The 17,538-nt window shown below is 37.4% G+C and overlaps 1 protein-coding gene and 1 pseudogene across 2 annotated transcripts in view; one reads left to right on the top strand and one right to left on the bottom strand.

The window, feature by feature from the left end:
* Nucleotides 1-8,426, top strand: part of ZDHHC21 (zDHHC palmitoyltransferase 21) — a 104,636-nt gene extending 96,210 nt beyond the window's left edge. The window contains exon 12 of one of the 2 annotated variants that reach the window (XR_001746284.2): nucleotides 7,604-8,426. The gene's annotated coding sequence lies outside the window, so the exon portion shown is untranslated. Of the gene's footprint in view, nucleotides 1-4,694 lie in introns of both variants that reach the window. The other variant, XR_001746285.2, reaches the window with a different exon arrangement.
* Nucleotides 3,038-3,645, bottom strand: CDCA4P1 (cell division cycle associated 4 pseudogene 1; annotated as a pseudogene).
* Nucleotides 8,427-17,538: the final 9,112 nt, after the last annotated feature.

Below are 17,538 nucleotides of genomic sequence, written 5' to 3'. Positions count from 1 at the left end.
AGTCTGGTGGGAGCTGAGCTCTCAAATGGCACCATGCTATAGTTGCTTGGGTCTCGGGGTGTGTGGGACACATCCAAAACAAACTCCCTCTCTGGAACAATGCTGTTGCATGGACTTCAGGCATTTCCCTATACTAGTCTCAGGGCCTGTGAGGGCTGAGGGGCTCTACCTTGGCTAAGATTGCAGGAGTTCACAATGGAAAAGTGTACTGGGGGATCTCTCACTTACCTTTTCCCGGCACTGGAAAGTTTCTCCTGGCTTTGAGCCTATCCCAACCATGCTGGCTGCTTCACTTCTCTCTCCTTCCATGCCTCAGAAGTTCTCTGACACTGCCCTGCTGAATTCCAATGTTCTCTCTAAGATGCTGTATTCAATGTGTGATCTTCTACTCACTGTTTAGGCCCTTTCTGGAGGAGACAAGTGCCACGTACCTCTAGCCACCAGCCAGTAATTTATTCTATTAGGAATTCTGGGATATTTTGTTCTCTGTTATTTTTTTTTCTTTCAGAATTATTTGCTTTTTCTTAATCAGAGAGTTCCAGTGCAATTTCCAGGAATGAAGCAATAGACAAAGGAAGTCTTCCTATCTGAATCCAGGCATTTGTTAGTCAAGCTCTTGCTAGTTTTCATCTTTTCTCTGCAGGGAGGACCAGGAGATGGTACCAGGTCTCAGTCCCCACTGCTTTTCCTACCGGACCAGTGAATACTCTCACTGCTCTGCTCTTGGAGAGGTGGCCAACAACACACACAAGCAGCATGTAGGTATGTGGAAGGTTTTCTAGGGATGCCACCCATTTCCAGGTAGCCATACCCATCTTACACACACTCCTTCAGGGCACTGAGCCCCACCTCTTCATACCAACAACCTAGCGGCTTGCTTGGGGCGCAGCCTCATGTTGCCACTGAAGAGTGATGCTGTGGCTACCACCACTACTGAAGGATGAGGTGAAAAGACACGGGGGGTCATACTCATTCTGCTGTTCCATTTTGTTGCTGAGCCAAATTCCATTGTATTACCAATCTTCAATTTGTTATCGATTCATTTACTATAAACATTTGGGTTGCTTTCCATTTTGTTCTATAAATGAAACTGCCATGAACATTCACATACAAGTCTTTGTAAAGACATGTTTTCATTTCCCTTGGATAAATGCCTTAGAGTAGAATTACTGGGTTGAATGGTAGGTTTATGTTTGATTTAATAAGAAACTACCAAATTTTTCATGATCATGCCATTTTACACTCCCACCAGCAATGTATGAGTGTTCCAGTTGCTCCGTGTCTTTTCCAGTACTTGGTATTATGGGACTTTTCAAGTTTTAGCCACTCTAGTGTATCTGGTTGTGATTTTAATTTACATTTGCCTGATGGCTAATGATGTTGAACATCTTTTATGTGCATATTGACTGATCTTGTATTTTCTTCTTTTGGAGATGTCTTCTTTTTTTTCCTTCATGGCATTTGCAGCCAATGGAGATGTGCTTTCAAATCTTTTGACCATTTTTAATTGGGTTGTCTTCTTACTGAGTCAAAAGAGTTTGTTATATATTCTGGATACCATTCCTTTGTCAGATGTATTTATATTTTCTTCCTGTTTGTTACTTACATGCCTTAAAATTCACCTGTTATATTGTGCACAATTGAATATTTTGTAGTAAATGTATAGTTGTACAACCTTCACCAAAATTCAGTTTTAGAACATTTCCATCACCTTAGAAAGACCCCTTGGACTCTGGCAACCACTAATATGCTTTTATAGATTTGATTTTTCTAGGCAGTTACTATAAATGGAATCATACATTATGTAGTCTTTTATGTCTGACTCTTTTCACTTAATGTAGTGTTTTTGAGGTTTATCTATGTTGTACCATGTGTCCGTAATCTATGCCTTTTTATTGTTGAACAGAACTCTGTCTTATGAATATGCCACATTTTGCTTATCCATTTGTCAGTTGATGAACATGTGGATTGCTTTCAGTTTTTGGCTATTATGAGTAATACTGCTTTGAATTTACATAAAAATGTGTGGACATATGTTTTATTTATCTGGGGTAGATACCTAAGAGTGGAAATCTGCATTGAATGGTAAATTTATATTTAATTTTTTAATAAACTATTAACTAGTTTTAAAAGTGTATGTCACATTTTACCTGACTACTAGAAATGTATGAGTTTTTCAGTTTTCCACATCTGCACTAATAACTTATCTTTTTTATTATAGCCATCCAAGTTAATATGTAGTGGCATTTCATTGCGGTTTTAATTTGACATTCTCAAATGGCTAGTGATGTTGAACGTATTTTTATGTGTATGTTTATTAACCATTTGGATATCTTCTCTGATAAACTGTCTATTCAAAATTTTTGCCCACTTATTAAATTGTTTACTTATTATTATAAGAATTATGTGTTCTGGATACAAGGACTTTATCAGATATATGATTTGCAAATATTTTCTTTTAGTTTGTGGTTTGTCTTTTCATTTTCTTAATGATATCCTTTGAAGCACAAAATTTTTGATGAATTCCAATTTATCATTTTTAAAAGTGATCATGCTTTTGATATTATCTAAGAGGTCTTTGCTTAACCCAAGGTCATGCAGGTTTTTATCTAGAAGTTTCATAGTTCTAGGTTTTACATTTATATCTACTGTGATCCATTTTGAGTTAATTTTTATGTATACTGTGAAGTGAGGGTCTAAGTTTTCTTTGTTTCGTTACATATAGATAATCCGGTTGTGTCAGTATCATTGGCTGAAAAGACTGTCTTTCCCCATTGAATTGTTTTGGCAAATTTATTGATAATCAATTGATCGTAATGTAATGCTTATTTCTAGCATGTGAATTATGTTCTGTTGTTCTTATCGTTATAACAATACCACTCTGTAGCTTTATATTAAGTTTTGAGTTCAGGTAGTATAAATCATCCAGCTTTGTTCTTTTCTTTCAAAATTATTTTACCTATCTTAGGTCCTTTGTATTTTCATATGAATTTTAGGATTATTTCATCCTCATTGGTGCTGCTCACCATGCCCATTGCACCGTGACCAGGTCATAGTAGGAACTATCTACATCTGAAAAAAGCTTTTCCATGGAACTGGGGTTTTTATTCTCCAGATTTTCAAATATCTTATCTAGCAATTTTTGAAAACTTCCTCTATTTGCTTGAGGGCTATCCATTTCTTAGATGCTGCTCTGTGGGTTCCTCGATTACTGTGCTGAGGTGACCAGGGAAAGTTCAGAAACTAGGCCCTGTTTCCCCAAGCTGTCTCCCAAGCCAGGAACAGGGTACATCCCCTCCTGCTCCCAGTTAGTGGCTCAGGGAGCTCTTCCCACTTAGTGGCTCAGGATCTCTGCAGAGACCAGGTGGTCTAGAAGCACTTGCCCTTCACCCTGGGGCACCGCCATCCACCATTTTCCATCCTGGGTCATCTCTCTTGAATCTGTAGGACAGTGTTGGTTATGAGGACCCAGTGGCAGAGGTTGGGCTGGACCAGCATGTGGCAGAGCTGTAGCTTAACTAGGGACATGTCCAGAAGTGACTGTCATTGAAGATTATAGAAAGGGACAGTCTCAAAACTGATCAGGGCTCCTTTCATGTCTTCCTTGTAGTCAACGCATTTCCTCTTTAATCCTTGAGCAAACATTGTGTCATGTGTCATGATGGTTGCCTGCCCAGCCCAGTCCACTGTCATCGTCCCACTCACCACCACCGAGTAGGGTGTGACATCTGGCCAGCACAGGGTGGAGAAGATCTATTCAGATTTTTTGTATTTCCTGTTAAGCCTGTTTTGGAAATTTATGTATTTTCTAGGAATTCGTCTCTTTTATTCACGTTATCTAATATGTTGACATAAAGTTGTTCATAATAGTCCCTTAAAATCCTTTCAATTTTTGTAGTGTCAGTAGTGATGTCCTCTCTTTCATTCCTAATTTTGGAAACCTATCTTCTTTTTTTGTTTTGTTTAGTTAGTGTACTTAAAGGTTTGTCAATTTTGTTAATCTGTTTAAAATACATACTTTTATCTTGATTTTCTTTATTGTTGTCATTTTCCATTTCCTTTGTTTGTGCTATGATTTCTAATTTCCTCCCTATTTCTTTTTTTCTACTTGCTTTGAGTTTACTTTTTGAGATGGAAGCTTAAGTTATTTGGTTGAAACCTTTATTTTTTCTAATATAGATTTTTAAAGCTATAAATTGCCCTCCCTGTACTACTTTAGCTGTACCACATAAATTTTGATATGCTGTGTTCTTTTTTATTCAATTAAAACTATCTTAATTTCCCATTTGATCTGTTGTTTGATCATGGATTGTTTAGAAGTATGTTGTCTAATTTCCGAATGTGGAGATGTCTCAAATTTGTTTCTGCTGTTGATTTCTAATTTAATTCCTTTGTGGCTGTAAAACACACTTTGTATGAGTTCAGTTATTTTAATTTATTAGGATTTATTTTATGGATTAGCATATGATGTATCTTGAACAATTTTTCATATGTGCTTGAGAAGAACATGTATTCTGATAGTAGTAGGTTACAGTATTCTATAAATGTCAGTTAGGGCAGTTGGTTGATGTGTTTGTTGAAGTCTTTTATATCCTCACTGCTTTTCTGTTTAGATTTTCTGTCAATTATTGAGAATGGGGTATTGAAATCTTTAAATATTGTTGAATTGTTATTTGTTCTTTTAATTCTTTCAGGTTTTGCTTTATGTATTTGAGAGTGCTCTTGTTAGGTATGTATAGATTTATAATTGCTATGTGGTCCTGACTGTATACTGTACTGTTGGGTTTATAACAGAAAATACATGTACAAGTCAATATCACTTAAGAAAATCCTTCATGAAGCAGTAAATATGTATAAATATATATATTTTAAAAGAGAAAGAGGAAGGAAGGAAATGGAATTATATCGAAACAAAGTTTCTGTATTTTACCGAATTAAATAAGTATAAATCCAGAATAGATTGTGATGAGTTACAATGGACATTCTAATTGTTACACTAACTGCTAAGAAAATAAGCCAGTAAAATATGCTTAAAATCAATAGAGGAATTAAAATGTTACACTAAAAATAGATGTTTAATACAAAAGCAGGAAGAAAGGAACAGAGAAAAAAATATATAAGACACAGAAAAACTAATTGTAAAAATGGCATGCAGACATCCAATTGTACCAATAATACTTTGATGTAAATGGAGTAAAAACCTCAATAAAAAGGCAAACATTTTCAGACTGTATAAAAAGCAAGATCCAACTATATGTCTGTAAGATAAAATTTAGATTCAGACATAAATAGGTTGAAAATAAGAAAATTAAAAAACAGATATCATGCAAGCAGTAATCATAAGAGCTAGAATAGCTACCTTGGTATCAGGCAAAATAGATTTTAAGCTAAGAAATATTACTAGATAGAAGAATATTTTATAAGAGATATACTGAAAGGTTATAATTTTATATCAGTAACTTTTACTGTTTCATGAAGTATTTTTGTGAGTGAAATTGGCTTTTTTCTTGTAGTTTTCATGATGGACAATACGATGATTACTAGTAAAGACTGATGTTATGTCTCAATTTGTATGAAGGGATCATGGACCAGTTTTAGAACTGCTGACTTAAGCCATTTACATTTCATATAACTTCATGATAATTGTGTTTAAGTCTGTCATCTTGCTGTTTGATTATTATTCGTCTCATGTCTGCTGCTATCACAAAATACCTGCGACTGGAGAATATATAAAGAACAGAAATGTATTTATAGTTCTGAAGGCTGGAAAGTCTAAGATCAAGGCTCCAGCAGATTCAGTGTTTGATGACCTTCTTGTTGCATTCTCAGTGGCAGAAGGGACAAAAGTGCTAAAAGGGACCAAATTTACTCCCTCAATCCTCTAATAAGGCACTAATCTGTTCATGAGGACAGATCCCTCATGACCTAATAATCTCCTAAAGGTCACGCCTCTTAATACCATTATGTTAGGAATTATATATCAACATGAATTTTGGAAGGGACAGAAACATTCAAATTATAGTGTTCTATCTGTTCTTTGTTCCCTTTTCCTGCCTTTTTTGGAGTAACTCAGTATTTTCCTTTACCCCATTTTATTCCCACTATTGGTTTATGAGGTATACCTCTTTTAATTTTTAATGGTTTCTGTTAGAATTACAATATGCCATATCACAGACTACCCTTAGATATTACTGTGCTACTTCAAGTATAATGTAAAAACACACAACATTTTGCTTCTATTTCCCCCTTTGTTCTATTGCATATTGTTGTATATTTTTCTGATATATGTGTTATAAACTTCCTGATACATTATTATTACTTTTCTTTTGCCAGTCAGTTATCTTTTTAAAAAATTTAAAAGTAGGAAAAATATCTTTCAAATTTCCCCATATGTTTATCATTTCTGGTGCTCTTCGTTCCTTTTGTAGATCCTAGTTTTCATGTAGCATCTTTATCCTTCTGTCTGAGAATTTCCTTTTACATTTCTTGTGATTCAGGCTTGCTGATGATAAATTTGCTCAGCATCTGTTTGTCTGAAAAATTTTTCTTTCACCCTCATTTCTGAAGCATATTTTTGTTGAATATAGAATTTGAGGTTGGTGGAGTTTGTCCCCTCCCCACATTCAGCCCCTTCCATTCTATTATTTTCTGGTATTTATATTTTCTGGTGAGAAGTCTGTGAAATTTTTTTCTTTTATTCAATATGTCATTTTTCTCCATTTTAGAAATAGTCCCATTATCTCTGGTTTTTAGTAGTTTAAGTATGATGTGTCTTGGTGTGGTTTTCATTGTGATTATCTACTTGAGTTTAAATTTGAGTCTATTATTTTCATCAGATTTGGAAAACTTTGGTTGTTATAACTTCAAATATTTTGTCCAATTCCTTACTCCTAAACACAAGTAATATGACTTAGTATTGTCACCTAGCTTACTAAGACTCAGTTCATATTTTCCAAGGCTTTTTTTCTGCCTGTCCTTTTGTTTGAATAGTTTCTATGTTTCATGTTCACTCTCTTTTCCTCTGCAGTGTCTAATCTGCTGCTAACCCTGCTGCTAACCGTGAAATTTTCATTTTAGATATTGTATTTTTCATCTCCAGAAGTCATATTTAGTTTTTCTTTATATCATTCATTTCTCTTTTAATTATATACATGTTTTTCTTTAAATACTTAAACATGGTTATAACAGCTGTGTTTTAAGCTCCTTGTCTGTTAATTCCATCATCTGTCATTTTTGCATCTGTTTTTATTGACTAACTTTCTTCCTCATCATGGTCACATATCCTTGCTTCTTCCCATATTTAGTAAAGTTTAGTTGGATGCTGGATTGTTTTAATTTAGCATTTTGGAGTGACTGCTTTTGCACTTGCCTTTAAAAGTATTGGACTTCGTTTTGATAGTTGAATTACTTGCAAATCAGCTTGATCATTCTGAGACTTGTTTTTAACTTTTGTCGAAAAGGCTATGCTACTTCAAGTATAATAAAACCTAGTTTTAGTTTTATCCTATAACTAAGGCATGTGTTCAATTTGAATGTCTCCAACCCTGTGTGAACTCTGAAAATTGTTCAGCTCCCAATTTCGCAGTAATTTTTTTTTGTTCAGCCTTGCAGTCTCATCCTACTCAAGTGTGGCTCTGTATCCAACAACAGTCTTGGAGATCTCATGAAGATTTCTGAAACTTTTGCTCTGCAGGATACCTTCCTTTGTGGTTATGTGCCCTGAAAACTCCAGCCTCCGTGTCTTCAATTCAGTGAAACTACTACTCTGCTTGGATTCCCCTCTTATACAATGGTCTACCAAGTGACTGCAAACAGAAATCTAAGGGAATTTCAGGAGTCACCTCATTTATTTTCCTTTTTTTCAGGGATTATAGTAGTACTATACCACCTGTCAGCCAATGTGTGAGAATGGTGGTTTCATACATTTTCTCCAATTCTTTCTTGTTACAGGAGCCTCCATTACTTTTCAAACAGTAATGCAGTTGCAGTTGCCTCTCCTTTTCTTCATTATGTGTTTATCTCTGGCAGTTTGAGCCAAGAGAGGGCACGGAGAAGTACAATGACTAGAGAGCACTTCTGTTGAGGCTCATTCATTGACCCCTACCCCAGTGCTTTATGAATGTGTGCTGCAGATGTCATACAGCATCACAGCTTCTTCTCTAATTTATGAGCCATAATTTTTTTTTTTGTATTTTTATTGTATTACCTGCTTGGTTGCAAGAGGATGATGAGGAGGACTACTATAGGATAAATTTGTTTTTATAGAGCAATTTCTCATGGGTCACGAGGGATAGTACTCCATTTTCCTCACTGATATCGGCTTGATCATCTGAGTCAGTGGGCTCATTGTGGAAACATATGGAATCCTTTATGCTTTTTCTCAGGCTGCTTCTGTTACATGAAATAAAGCCAGAGTTGATTGTGAATTGAAGCCTCTGTAGATACTTTTTAAAAGATCTTGTTCCGTCAGCCTTATAACTAATCATCATCATCATTACCACCACCATCATCATCTATACTTTATTGAGGAATCTCAACCCATTGGAGCAAAGATATAAAGCTGTTTTTGTAAATAATTGTGCCCTGTTAACTCCCATTTGTGCTACTGGATGATGGCTCCCTTAATGACATTTTGCTTAGATTCTGTAATGTTTTTCAGTCACTTTTCTTTATCAAAACATTTATTCTGATAGTTAAGCCTTGCTCATGTTTAATTTTAATCTTTTTTTTTTTTTTTTTTTGAGACAGAGTTTCGCTCTTGTCGCCCAGGCTGGAGTGCAGTGGCGCAATCTTGGCTCACTGCAACCTCCGCCTCCCGGGTTCAAGCGATTCTCCTGCCTCACCCTCCCGAGTAGTTGGGATTACAGGCACCTACCACCACGCCCAGCTAATTTTTGTGTTTTTAGTAGAGAAGGGGTTTCACCATGTTGGCCAGGCTGGTCTCGAACTCCTGACCACAGGTGATCCACCCGCCTCGGCCTCCCAAAGTGCTGGGATTACAGGCATGAGCCACTGCGCCCGGCCTAATTTTAATCTTTTGTACAATTCAAAGCCCTGTTTCACTCCTACACCTAAGTCAGACTAGAGTTGAAACTCCAGAGCTGCTTTCTCATGCAGAGATTCAAGTAGGAAAGAGGAAGAGGCCAAAGGACAAGAGCCAGGTTCTTCCCTATTGGCTGTTTCTGCTTCTCTTACCGGCACCAGCTGACTGTTGACATCTTCTGTGTGGTTAGTTTCCTCTTACTGGCTCTTTAATCATCTCTCTGGAGAATGCTGGGAGAGACAAAAGATACTCCCCTCTGCAGATCCCTTGATTTGAGGGATCAGGCTTCCACTTGACCTCTTTCCTCTCCTTTGACTCCAGTGAAAGACAGTCCACCCGGCAACATCTTGTAGCTGGGATGCTTTTGCATGGTAGGTGAGGCTCTTTATTGAGGTATAGGTGAAATGAAAAATGTTCAGCCTCCCCTAGGTGGTATCCACCCAGCTCGTGGAAATTTTATTCTTTCTATGAAAACAGTGGAAATGTAAGCAGCTTCTCAGCCAGCTCTCTCAACTCCACCATCTCTTCCTCACTCATTTCTCCAAGACCAAACAATACAACACATACTCAACAGGCCTGGTGCCTTACCAGCTTTCAGAGGAAAGATGACCATTAATCTCTTGGTTAATGAAAAGTGAGGGTTTGGTGAACCTACAGAACTTAGCTAGAATTTCTTTTAGGGTCTTTCTCCCTTAGCTTTGAGGAGAAGCATCAGGTATCCTCCCCCATGGGAAAAGGGAGGTTATAGACTCTTCTTATGAATATTCACTCACAGGCAACACACCTTTGCCAGTTTTTCCTTAATTTTAATAGGTTGGCTGGTGTTGGAGTTGGGGAAGATGGAAACCGGCACCTTGCCGTAAACCTAGAACATTTTGTGCCATCAGTTTATGCATTTGCTGCAATTCCAGGACAATGGGGAAAATCCTGTTTTATACTAACAACAACAACCATGAAACTATACTACTAGTAGCTGACATTTACTGACTTCTTATTAAATGCCATGCATGGTACTGAGAGCCTTACAGGCATTACCTCCTCAAATCCTCAGGACTATGAAATCATCCCTTATTATCTCTATTTTCCAGGTAAGAAAATTAAGGTCACCGGCTATTCTGTAGTAGAGCCAGAATTCAAACCTGGAGTCTGCCTTTTGAGGTACTAGTGGTGTTTTCCCCCCAGATTATGTATTTTGGGCATTGATACTACTGAGTTTCCATCTTTAGGTGCATCTTCGCTGGTATCAATTGGAGGAACTGGAGAAGATGCACTGGCGCTGTGAGACAGAAGTCATTCTCAGCCAGGAGTGTCATTTTCTCCTTGGAGTCTCTAACTTCAGGATTCTGTGATTTGGCCATAAATAATAAATATGGTTTAGTAGAGGTTAATAAAATGTTTGTTGAATTACTGCCAACTTTATTCTAGGTCCTCGTTTCTTTGGTTGTTCTTTTAGGGACTAACTGCCTCTCTGGGAATTAATTTCCCAATGTGGATTTGAATTAATTCCCCCAGGCCACAGAATTGTAATCTGGAAGAGTTCATTCAGCAAATGGCACCCAGCTTTTCTCACTCTGGTTTGCCAAAGAGACTGTGAGGCTTTGTTTGAACACAGGCAACAGTGCTGGACGGCAGATGTTTACAAATAACATTTGTTTAATTGCTTAGGTACTTTATAATATATTTTTCTCTTAAGCTGTGGAAAACACATCCTTTATCAGCTTTAAATCAGAGTAACTTTGGAGGGCCATTCTGGCTGCCTTTTTTCCTTGTGCATTGGTCCAGACAGATGCAGTGAGGAAAAAGAAGAGAAAGGGGAAGCTGTTGGCAGTTACCCTCAACTTTGCCTCTTTGTAGCAGCAAGCAGCAATATAGAAATGAGTACCCTTTCCAGTTTTGCTCCCCACCCCCTGAGAAAAAGGCACCCAAACCAGCAGAAAAGCACTCAGAGCCATCTAGCTGAAAAGACAGTCAAGGAGGGGGATTGTTTGGTGGCAGCCCTCTGTAGAAGTACACCTTACAGCATCTGTAGTCGGTTTCTGAATTCTGCGAATTTCTCAGGGACCTGGCATGGCCTTTTTGGCTGGTACAAGCACTAGTAGAAGGTTTATGTGGGCATAATAAGAGTGCCCAAGGTGGCCTTTTACTCTGTGCGCTGTGACTTCAGTCCCTTACAAGTGCTGCAGAGCGCGTGACTATTGCACATTGAGAGGATGCGGGCATGTGGTAAGTTGGTCTAGATTTCAGATGCCTTCATGTTTCTAGGGGAAGCCCGCAAGAGGAAATGGGACTCTCAGAACCACCTTCAGAGATATATTGTGGCCACAGACTCTTCTCGCTCTAGCCTCAGCATGCCAAGCTTTAGGGCCATTCTCCTCCACCCTTACATCATTTCCACAGATGCTTCTGAAAGTACCCACAGCCAGGACTCACCAGAATTTGATTCAGTAGGGCTTCATGTCAAATGGGAATTTGCATCCATGTATCAATCCATAACAATTGAGATGTTCAGCTATGGTCAGTGTAACCACTACATTAGTGCTTTCTAAAATATGTCACTAAATATATCCTTTGTATGTAACAGTTACGAGAAGGTTCTCTAGAACTAAGATTCCAAACCTGGCTCTGCCACTTATTAGCTGTGTGACCCTGGACAATACACTTAAACTCTCCGTGCCTTATTTTCATAATCTCTGATATGGGGATGGTAGTATCTACCTCATGGGGCAGTTTGGGGATTAGATGAATTATCACATGTGAAACACTTAGGATGCAGCAATCTCTCAATACATTGTTATGATTTGCCTGTAGAGGAAAGAACATTTGCTTTGAGGTTTGTTTTGCTGGATTCACATAGAAAAACAGAGAAAATTTCCTTGCTCTACATCTGGCCATTACATAGCAAGAGCCTTTGGAGCTACTCTGGAGTGCCAGTATATTGTTTCCTTTTAATTCTTGCTTTGATTTATGTCTCTCCTTCAAAAAACAAGCTTTCTTATACAACCCAGATTTTATAAAACGTTTTTATTTTCAAATCAATACAATTTATTTAAAAATAAAAAATAAATCTTAGGAACTACTTTGGCTTCTCCAGGAGTCAGTCTGATAGTAGACAAGGCACCAATCCTCCTGTGACAAATACACTTATTCTAGGCAAATACTCTTAGTATTTTTTAAGTTTAATTAGCTTCAACAAATATTTGTTAAATACGTACTAGACGTGAGGCACTTTTGGTAAAAGGAGGAAATAAGGGAAATAAATCTAACCTTTATGGAGCAGCTGCTTTATGCCAAATACTATTGTAAGAATTTCATAATCACCCTGTTTAATATCTGCAATGGATGTGGTTAGCTGTAGTTTACAGATAAAAACCCTGAGACTCAAGAGTTTGTTGCTCTGGCATTTATAAAATCCCAGGCTCTCCTCTTTCCACTGTGCCATACCATCTCAGAAGATTCAGAGATAAAGATGGAACAGAGTCTGACCTAATGATGGTGTTTTATATTTACACAGTCTATTGTGGTTTATAGCAGCATGCATGTCTACATTCTGCATTCTGATTTGAATACAGATCCCGTAACTGCTGCCCTATCCTGTATTCCAGCCGACGTTTACAGAGTTGATCATAACCTATGTTTGTAGGGACCTTGATGCTATCGGAGTGCTTTTGTCCTACTTCACATGTTTATCATAATCTTTTGAAGGAATTAATGACAATCCTAGTGATGGCAATATTTAGTAACCATTTACCATGTGCCAGGCACTATGCTAAGAGTTTTCCACATTGTCTCATTTAACCCTTAGCGTAGCTGGTAGATCATTTTCACATCTCCATTTTATAGATAAGGCCACTACAAGCATTATTGCAGTGCAAAAGTTAAAACTCACATCCAAGTCTATCTGCCTCCAGATCCCCAAATCTTAATCACTGTTATACTAAAATATTATATGTATCTAATTAATGAAGAAACCAAGGCTCAAAGGGGTTATGGGCTTGCCCTAAGTATGTCAGTTAGGCTGGGAATCAATCCCCCATCTTCTGATGATACACTTCTGATCAATAAAGCACACAGATGCAATAGTAAAAGGCAGAATAGTCAACAAAATAGGAAAAATGGCAGATGTGTGGTCCAGTGGGGTCAGGAAAGGCTTATGAAGAAAGTGAGCTGGACCTAATAGGATGAATAAGATTTCCAGAAATTGATATAACCAGGAAGGATATTTCAGATGAATGGAAGAGGATTAGCAAAATGAGAAGACATGGATAGTACAGAAACAAAAACATGCTAGTGTTAATTTACCACAATATGAGGTGTACCTAGGGTGTTGGGACATGAGTCTAGAAAGCTATGTGTGCTTCTGTGCAAGTCTGAAGTATTAGCTCCTACATTGTTGGAGAATGGGGAGCCATTGAATGTTTTTGAGCAAGGAATGTGTCATGGTCAAGGCCACACTTTCAACAAAAATCAATTCTAAAAATTGATACATAATCATTGTTCATATTCACAGGGTGCAAGTGATGTTTTAATACATGCATGCAATATTTAATGATTAAATTGGGATAATTAGCATATTCATCACCTCAAACATATATTTTTGTGATGGGAACATTTCAACTCTTCTAGCTATTTTGAAATATACAATAAATTATTATTAACTATAGTCAGCCTACTGTGCTGTCTAACACTAGAACTGAGTTCTTCCATCTAACTGTATGTTTGTATCCTTTAACCTCTCTTCATCCCTTTTTGCTCATTCTTCTCAGCCTCTAGTATCCATCATTCTACTCTCTACCTCCATGAGATCAACTTTTTTAGCTCCCACATATGAGTGAGAACATACAATATTTGTCTTCCTGTGCCTGGCTTATTTTACTTAACGTAATGATCTCCAGACCCATTCATCTTGCTGCAAATGACAGGATTTCATTTTAGTATTCCATTGCGTATGTATACACACCATATTTTCTTTATTCATTCATTTATGGACACTTAGGTTGATTCCATGTAATGGATATTGTGAATAATGCTATAGTAAACATGAAAGTGCAGGTATTTGTTTGATATACTTATTTTCCTTGAAAAAATGCACAGGAGTGGCATTGCTGGATCAGTTTTGTGAGACACCTCTATACTGTTTTCCACAATGGCTGTGCTAATTTACATTCCCACTAACAGTGTATAAGAGTTCCCTTTTCTCCACATCCTCATCAGCCTTCATTAGTTTTTGTCTCTTTGATGGTAGCCATTGTGAGGTGAGATGATGTCTCACTACAGTTTTGATTTTTATTTCCTTAATGATTAGGATGTTGAGCATTTTTTCATATACCTGCTGGCCATTTGTATATTTTCTTTTGAGAAATATTTATTCAAATCCTTTGACATAATCACACTTCTTAATGTGATTATTTGGTTATTTGCTGTTGAGTTGTTTGAGTTCTTTGTATATTCTGTATATTAGTCCCTTGTTGGATGAATGTTTGTAAGTATTTTCTCCCATTCGACAACTTCACTCTTCAATCTGTGATTGTCTCCTTTGCTTTGCAGAAGCTTTTTAGTTTAACATAGTCCCATTTGTATATTTTTGTTTTTGTTCCCTGTGCTTTTAAAGAGTGGCTATAAAATCTTTGCCTAGGCCAGTGTCCTGAAGCATTTCCCAAATGTGTTCTTCTAGTAGTTTTATAGTTTCAGGGCTTACATTTAAGTCTTTAATTCATTTAGTTCAATTTAATGGCTTTTGTATATGGTGAGAGCTGGGGATCTAGTTTTATTCTTCTGCATATAAGTACGCAGTTCCCAGAACCATTTATTGAAGAAGCTGTAATTTCCCCAATGTACATTCATGGTACCTTTGTCAAAAATCCGTTGAGTGTAAATGCCTGGATTTATTTCTGCATTCTCTATTCTCTTTCATTGGCCTGTGTTCATTTTTATACTAATACCATGCTGTTTTGGTTACTATAGCTTTGTAGTATATTTTGAAGTCAGATAGTTGATGCCTGCAGCTTTGTTCTTTTTGCTCAGGATTGCTTTGGCTGTTTGGGGTCTTTGTGGTCCTATGCAAATTTTAGGATTGTTTTTCTATTTCTCTGAAGAATGTCATTGTTATTTTGTTAGGGATTGCATTGAATCTGTACATTGCTTTGGGTAATGCGGTCATTTTAACAATATTAATTCTTCCAATCCATGAGCATGAGATGTCTTTCCATGTTTTTGTCCTCTTCAATTTCTTGTATCAGTGTTTTGTACTTTCCGTTGTAGAAGTTTTTCACCTCCTTGTTTGAATTCATTCCTAGGTATTTTGGGGGTGGGGAGTAACTGTTGTAGATGGGACAGCTTCGTGTCCCATTTTCAGCCAGTTTGTGTTTGGTTTATATAAATGCTACTGATTTTTATGTGTTGATTTTCTATTCTGTAACTTTACTGAATTCATTTATCAGTTCTAAGAGTTTTTTGGTAAAGTCTTTATGTTTTTCTCTATATAAGATCATGTTGTCTGCAAAGAGGGGCAGTTTCCTTCTTTTCCAGTGTGGATGCCTTTTATTTCTTTCTCTTCCCTGATTGCCCTGGCTAGGACTTCCGGTAGTATATTGAATAAGAGTGGGGAGGCTGGGCACTGTGGCTCACGCCTGTAATCCCAGCACTTTGGGAGGCTGAGGCGGGTGGATCATGAGGTCAGGAGTTTGAAACCAGCCTGGCCAACACAGTGAAAACCCCATCTATACTAAAAATACAAAAATTAGTTGGGTGTGGTGACGAGCACCTGTAATCCCAGCTGCTTGGGAGGCTGAGGCAGGAGAATCGCTTGAACCCAGGAGCTGGAGGTTGCAGTGAGCCGAGAACACGCCACAGCACTCCAGCCTGGGCGACAGAGCTAGACTCTGTCTCAAAAAAAAAAAAAAAAAAAAAGTGTTGAAAGTAAACTTACTTGTCTTTTTCCAGTTCTTAGAGGAAAGGCTGTCAGTTTCTGCCCATTCAGTATGATGTTAGCTGTTGGTTTGCCATATATGTCCTTTATTATGTTGAGTTATGTTCCTTCTATGCCTAATTTTTGAAAATTTTTATTATGAGGTGATGTTAAATTTTAGCAAATACTTTTTCTGTATCTATTGATATGATCATGTGGTTTTGGACATTCATTCTGTTGATGTGCTATATCACATTCATTGATTTATGTATGTTGAACCATACTTGTATCTCTGAAATAAATTCCACTTGTTCATGATGTATTATCTTTCTGATGAGTTGTTGGATTTGGCTTGCTTGTATTTTGTTGAGGAGTTTTGCATTTATGTTCACCAGGCACGTTGGCCTGTAGTTTTCTTTTTTTGTTGTGTCTTTCTCTGGTTTTGGTGTCAGGATAATTCTGGCTCCATAGAATGAGTTAGGAAGAATTCTCTTACCTTCACTTTTTGAAATACTTTGAGAAGAATTGGTATTCTTCTTTGCAAGTTTGGTAGAATTCAGCAGCAAAGCCATTCCGTCCTGGGCTTTCTTTGTGGGAAGACTTTTTATTGCGACTCCATCTCATTCTGTATTATTGATCTATTCAGATATTGTGTTTCTTCCTGATTCAATCTTGGTAGGTTGTATGTGCCCAGGAACTTATCCTTTTCCTCTAGGTTTTCCAATTTGTTAGTGTGTATTAATAGTTGCTTATGTTAGTCTCTAATGATCATTTGTATTTCATTGCCTCATTTTTCATATATGATTTCATTTATGATTTATGTTTTCTCTCTTTTCCTGGTCAGTCTAGCTAGTGGTCTTTCAAGTTTGTTCATCTTTTCAAATAGCCAACTTTTTGTTTTGTTAATCCTTTGTATTGTTTTTAAGTCTCCATTTCATTTAGTCCTGCAGTAATCTTTATTATTTCTTTTCTTCTCCTAACTTTGGGTTTGGCTTGTTCTTGCTTTTCTAGTTATTTAAGGTTATTTATTTGAAATTGCTAGGTAGTTTATTTGAAACCTTTCTACTTTTTTGATGTCGGAATTCATTGCTATAAACTTCTCTCTTAGGACTGCTTTTGCTGTATCCTGTAGGTTTTGTTATGTTGTGTTTTCATTTTCATTTGTTTCAGTCTTTTTGATTTCCTCCTTAATTTCTTCCTTGACCCAGTGGTCATTCAGAGCCATGTTGTTTAATCTTCATGTATTTGTACAGTTTCCAAAGTTCCTTTTGTTATTGATTTTTACTTTTGTTTCATCGTAGTGCATGAAAATACTTGGGCCGAGCACAGTGGCTCACGCCTGTAATCCTAGCACTTTGGGAGGCTGAGGTGGGCAGATCACCTGAGGTCAGGAGTTCAAGACCAGCCTGGACAACATGGTGATACCCCATCTCTACTAAAAATACAAAAATTAGCTGGGCATGGTGGTGCATGCCTGTAATCCCTGTTACTCAGGAGACTGAGGCAGGAGAATCACCTGAGCCCGGGAGGCGGAGGTTGCAGTGAGCCAAGATCTCGCCACTGCGCTCAAGCCTGGGCGACAGAGCAAGAC

Source organism: Homo sapiens, chromosome 9 (genome assembly GCF_000001405.40).
Source record: "Homo sapiens chromosome 9, GRCh38.p14 Primary Assembly".
Classification (NCBI taxonomy): Eukaryota; Metazoa; Chordata; class Mammalia; order Primates; family Hominidae; genus Homo; species Homo sapiens.
The sequence above is the reverse complement of the archived record's forward strand: the minus strand, read 5'-3'. Positions and strand labels throughout refer to the sequence as shown.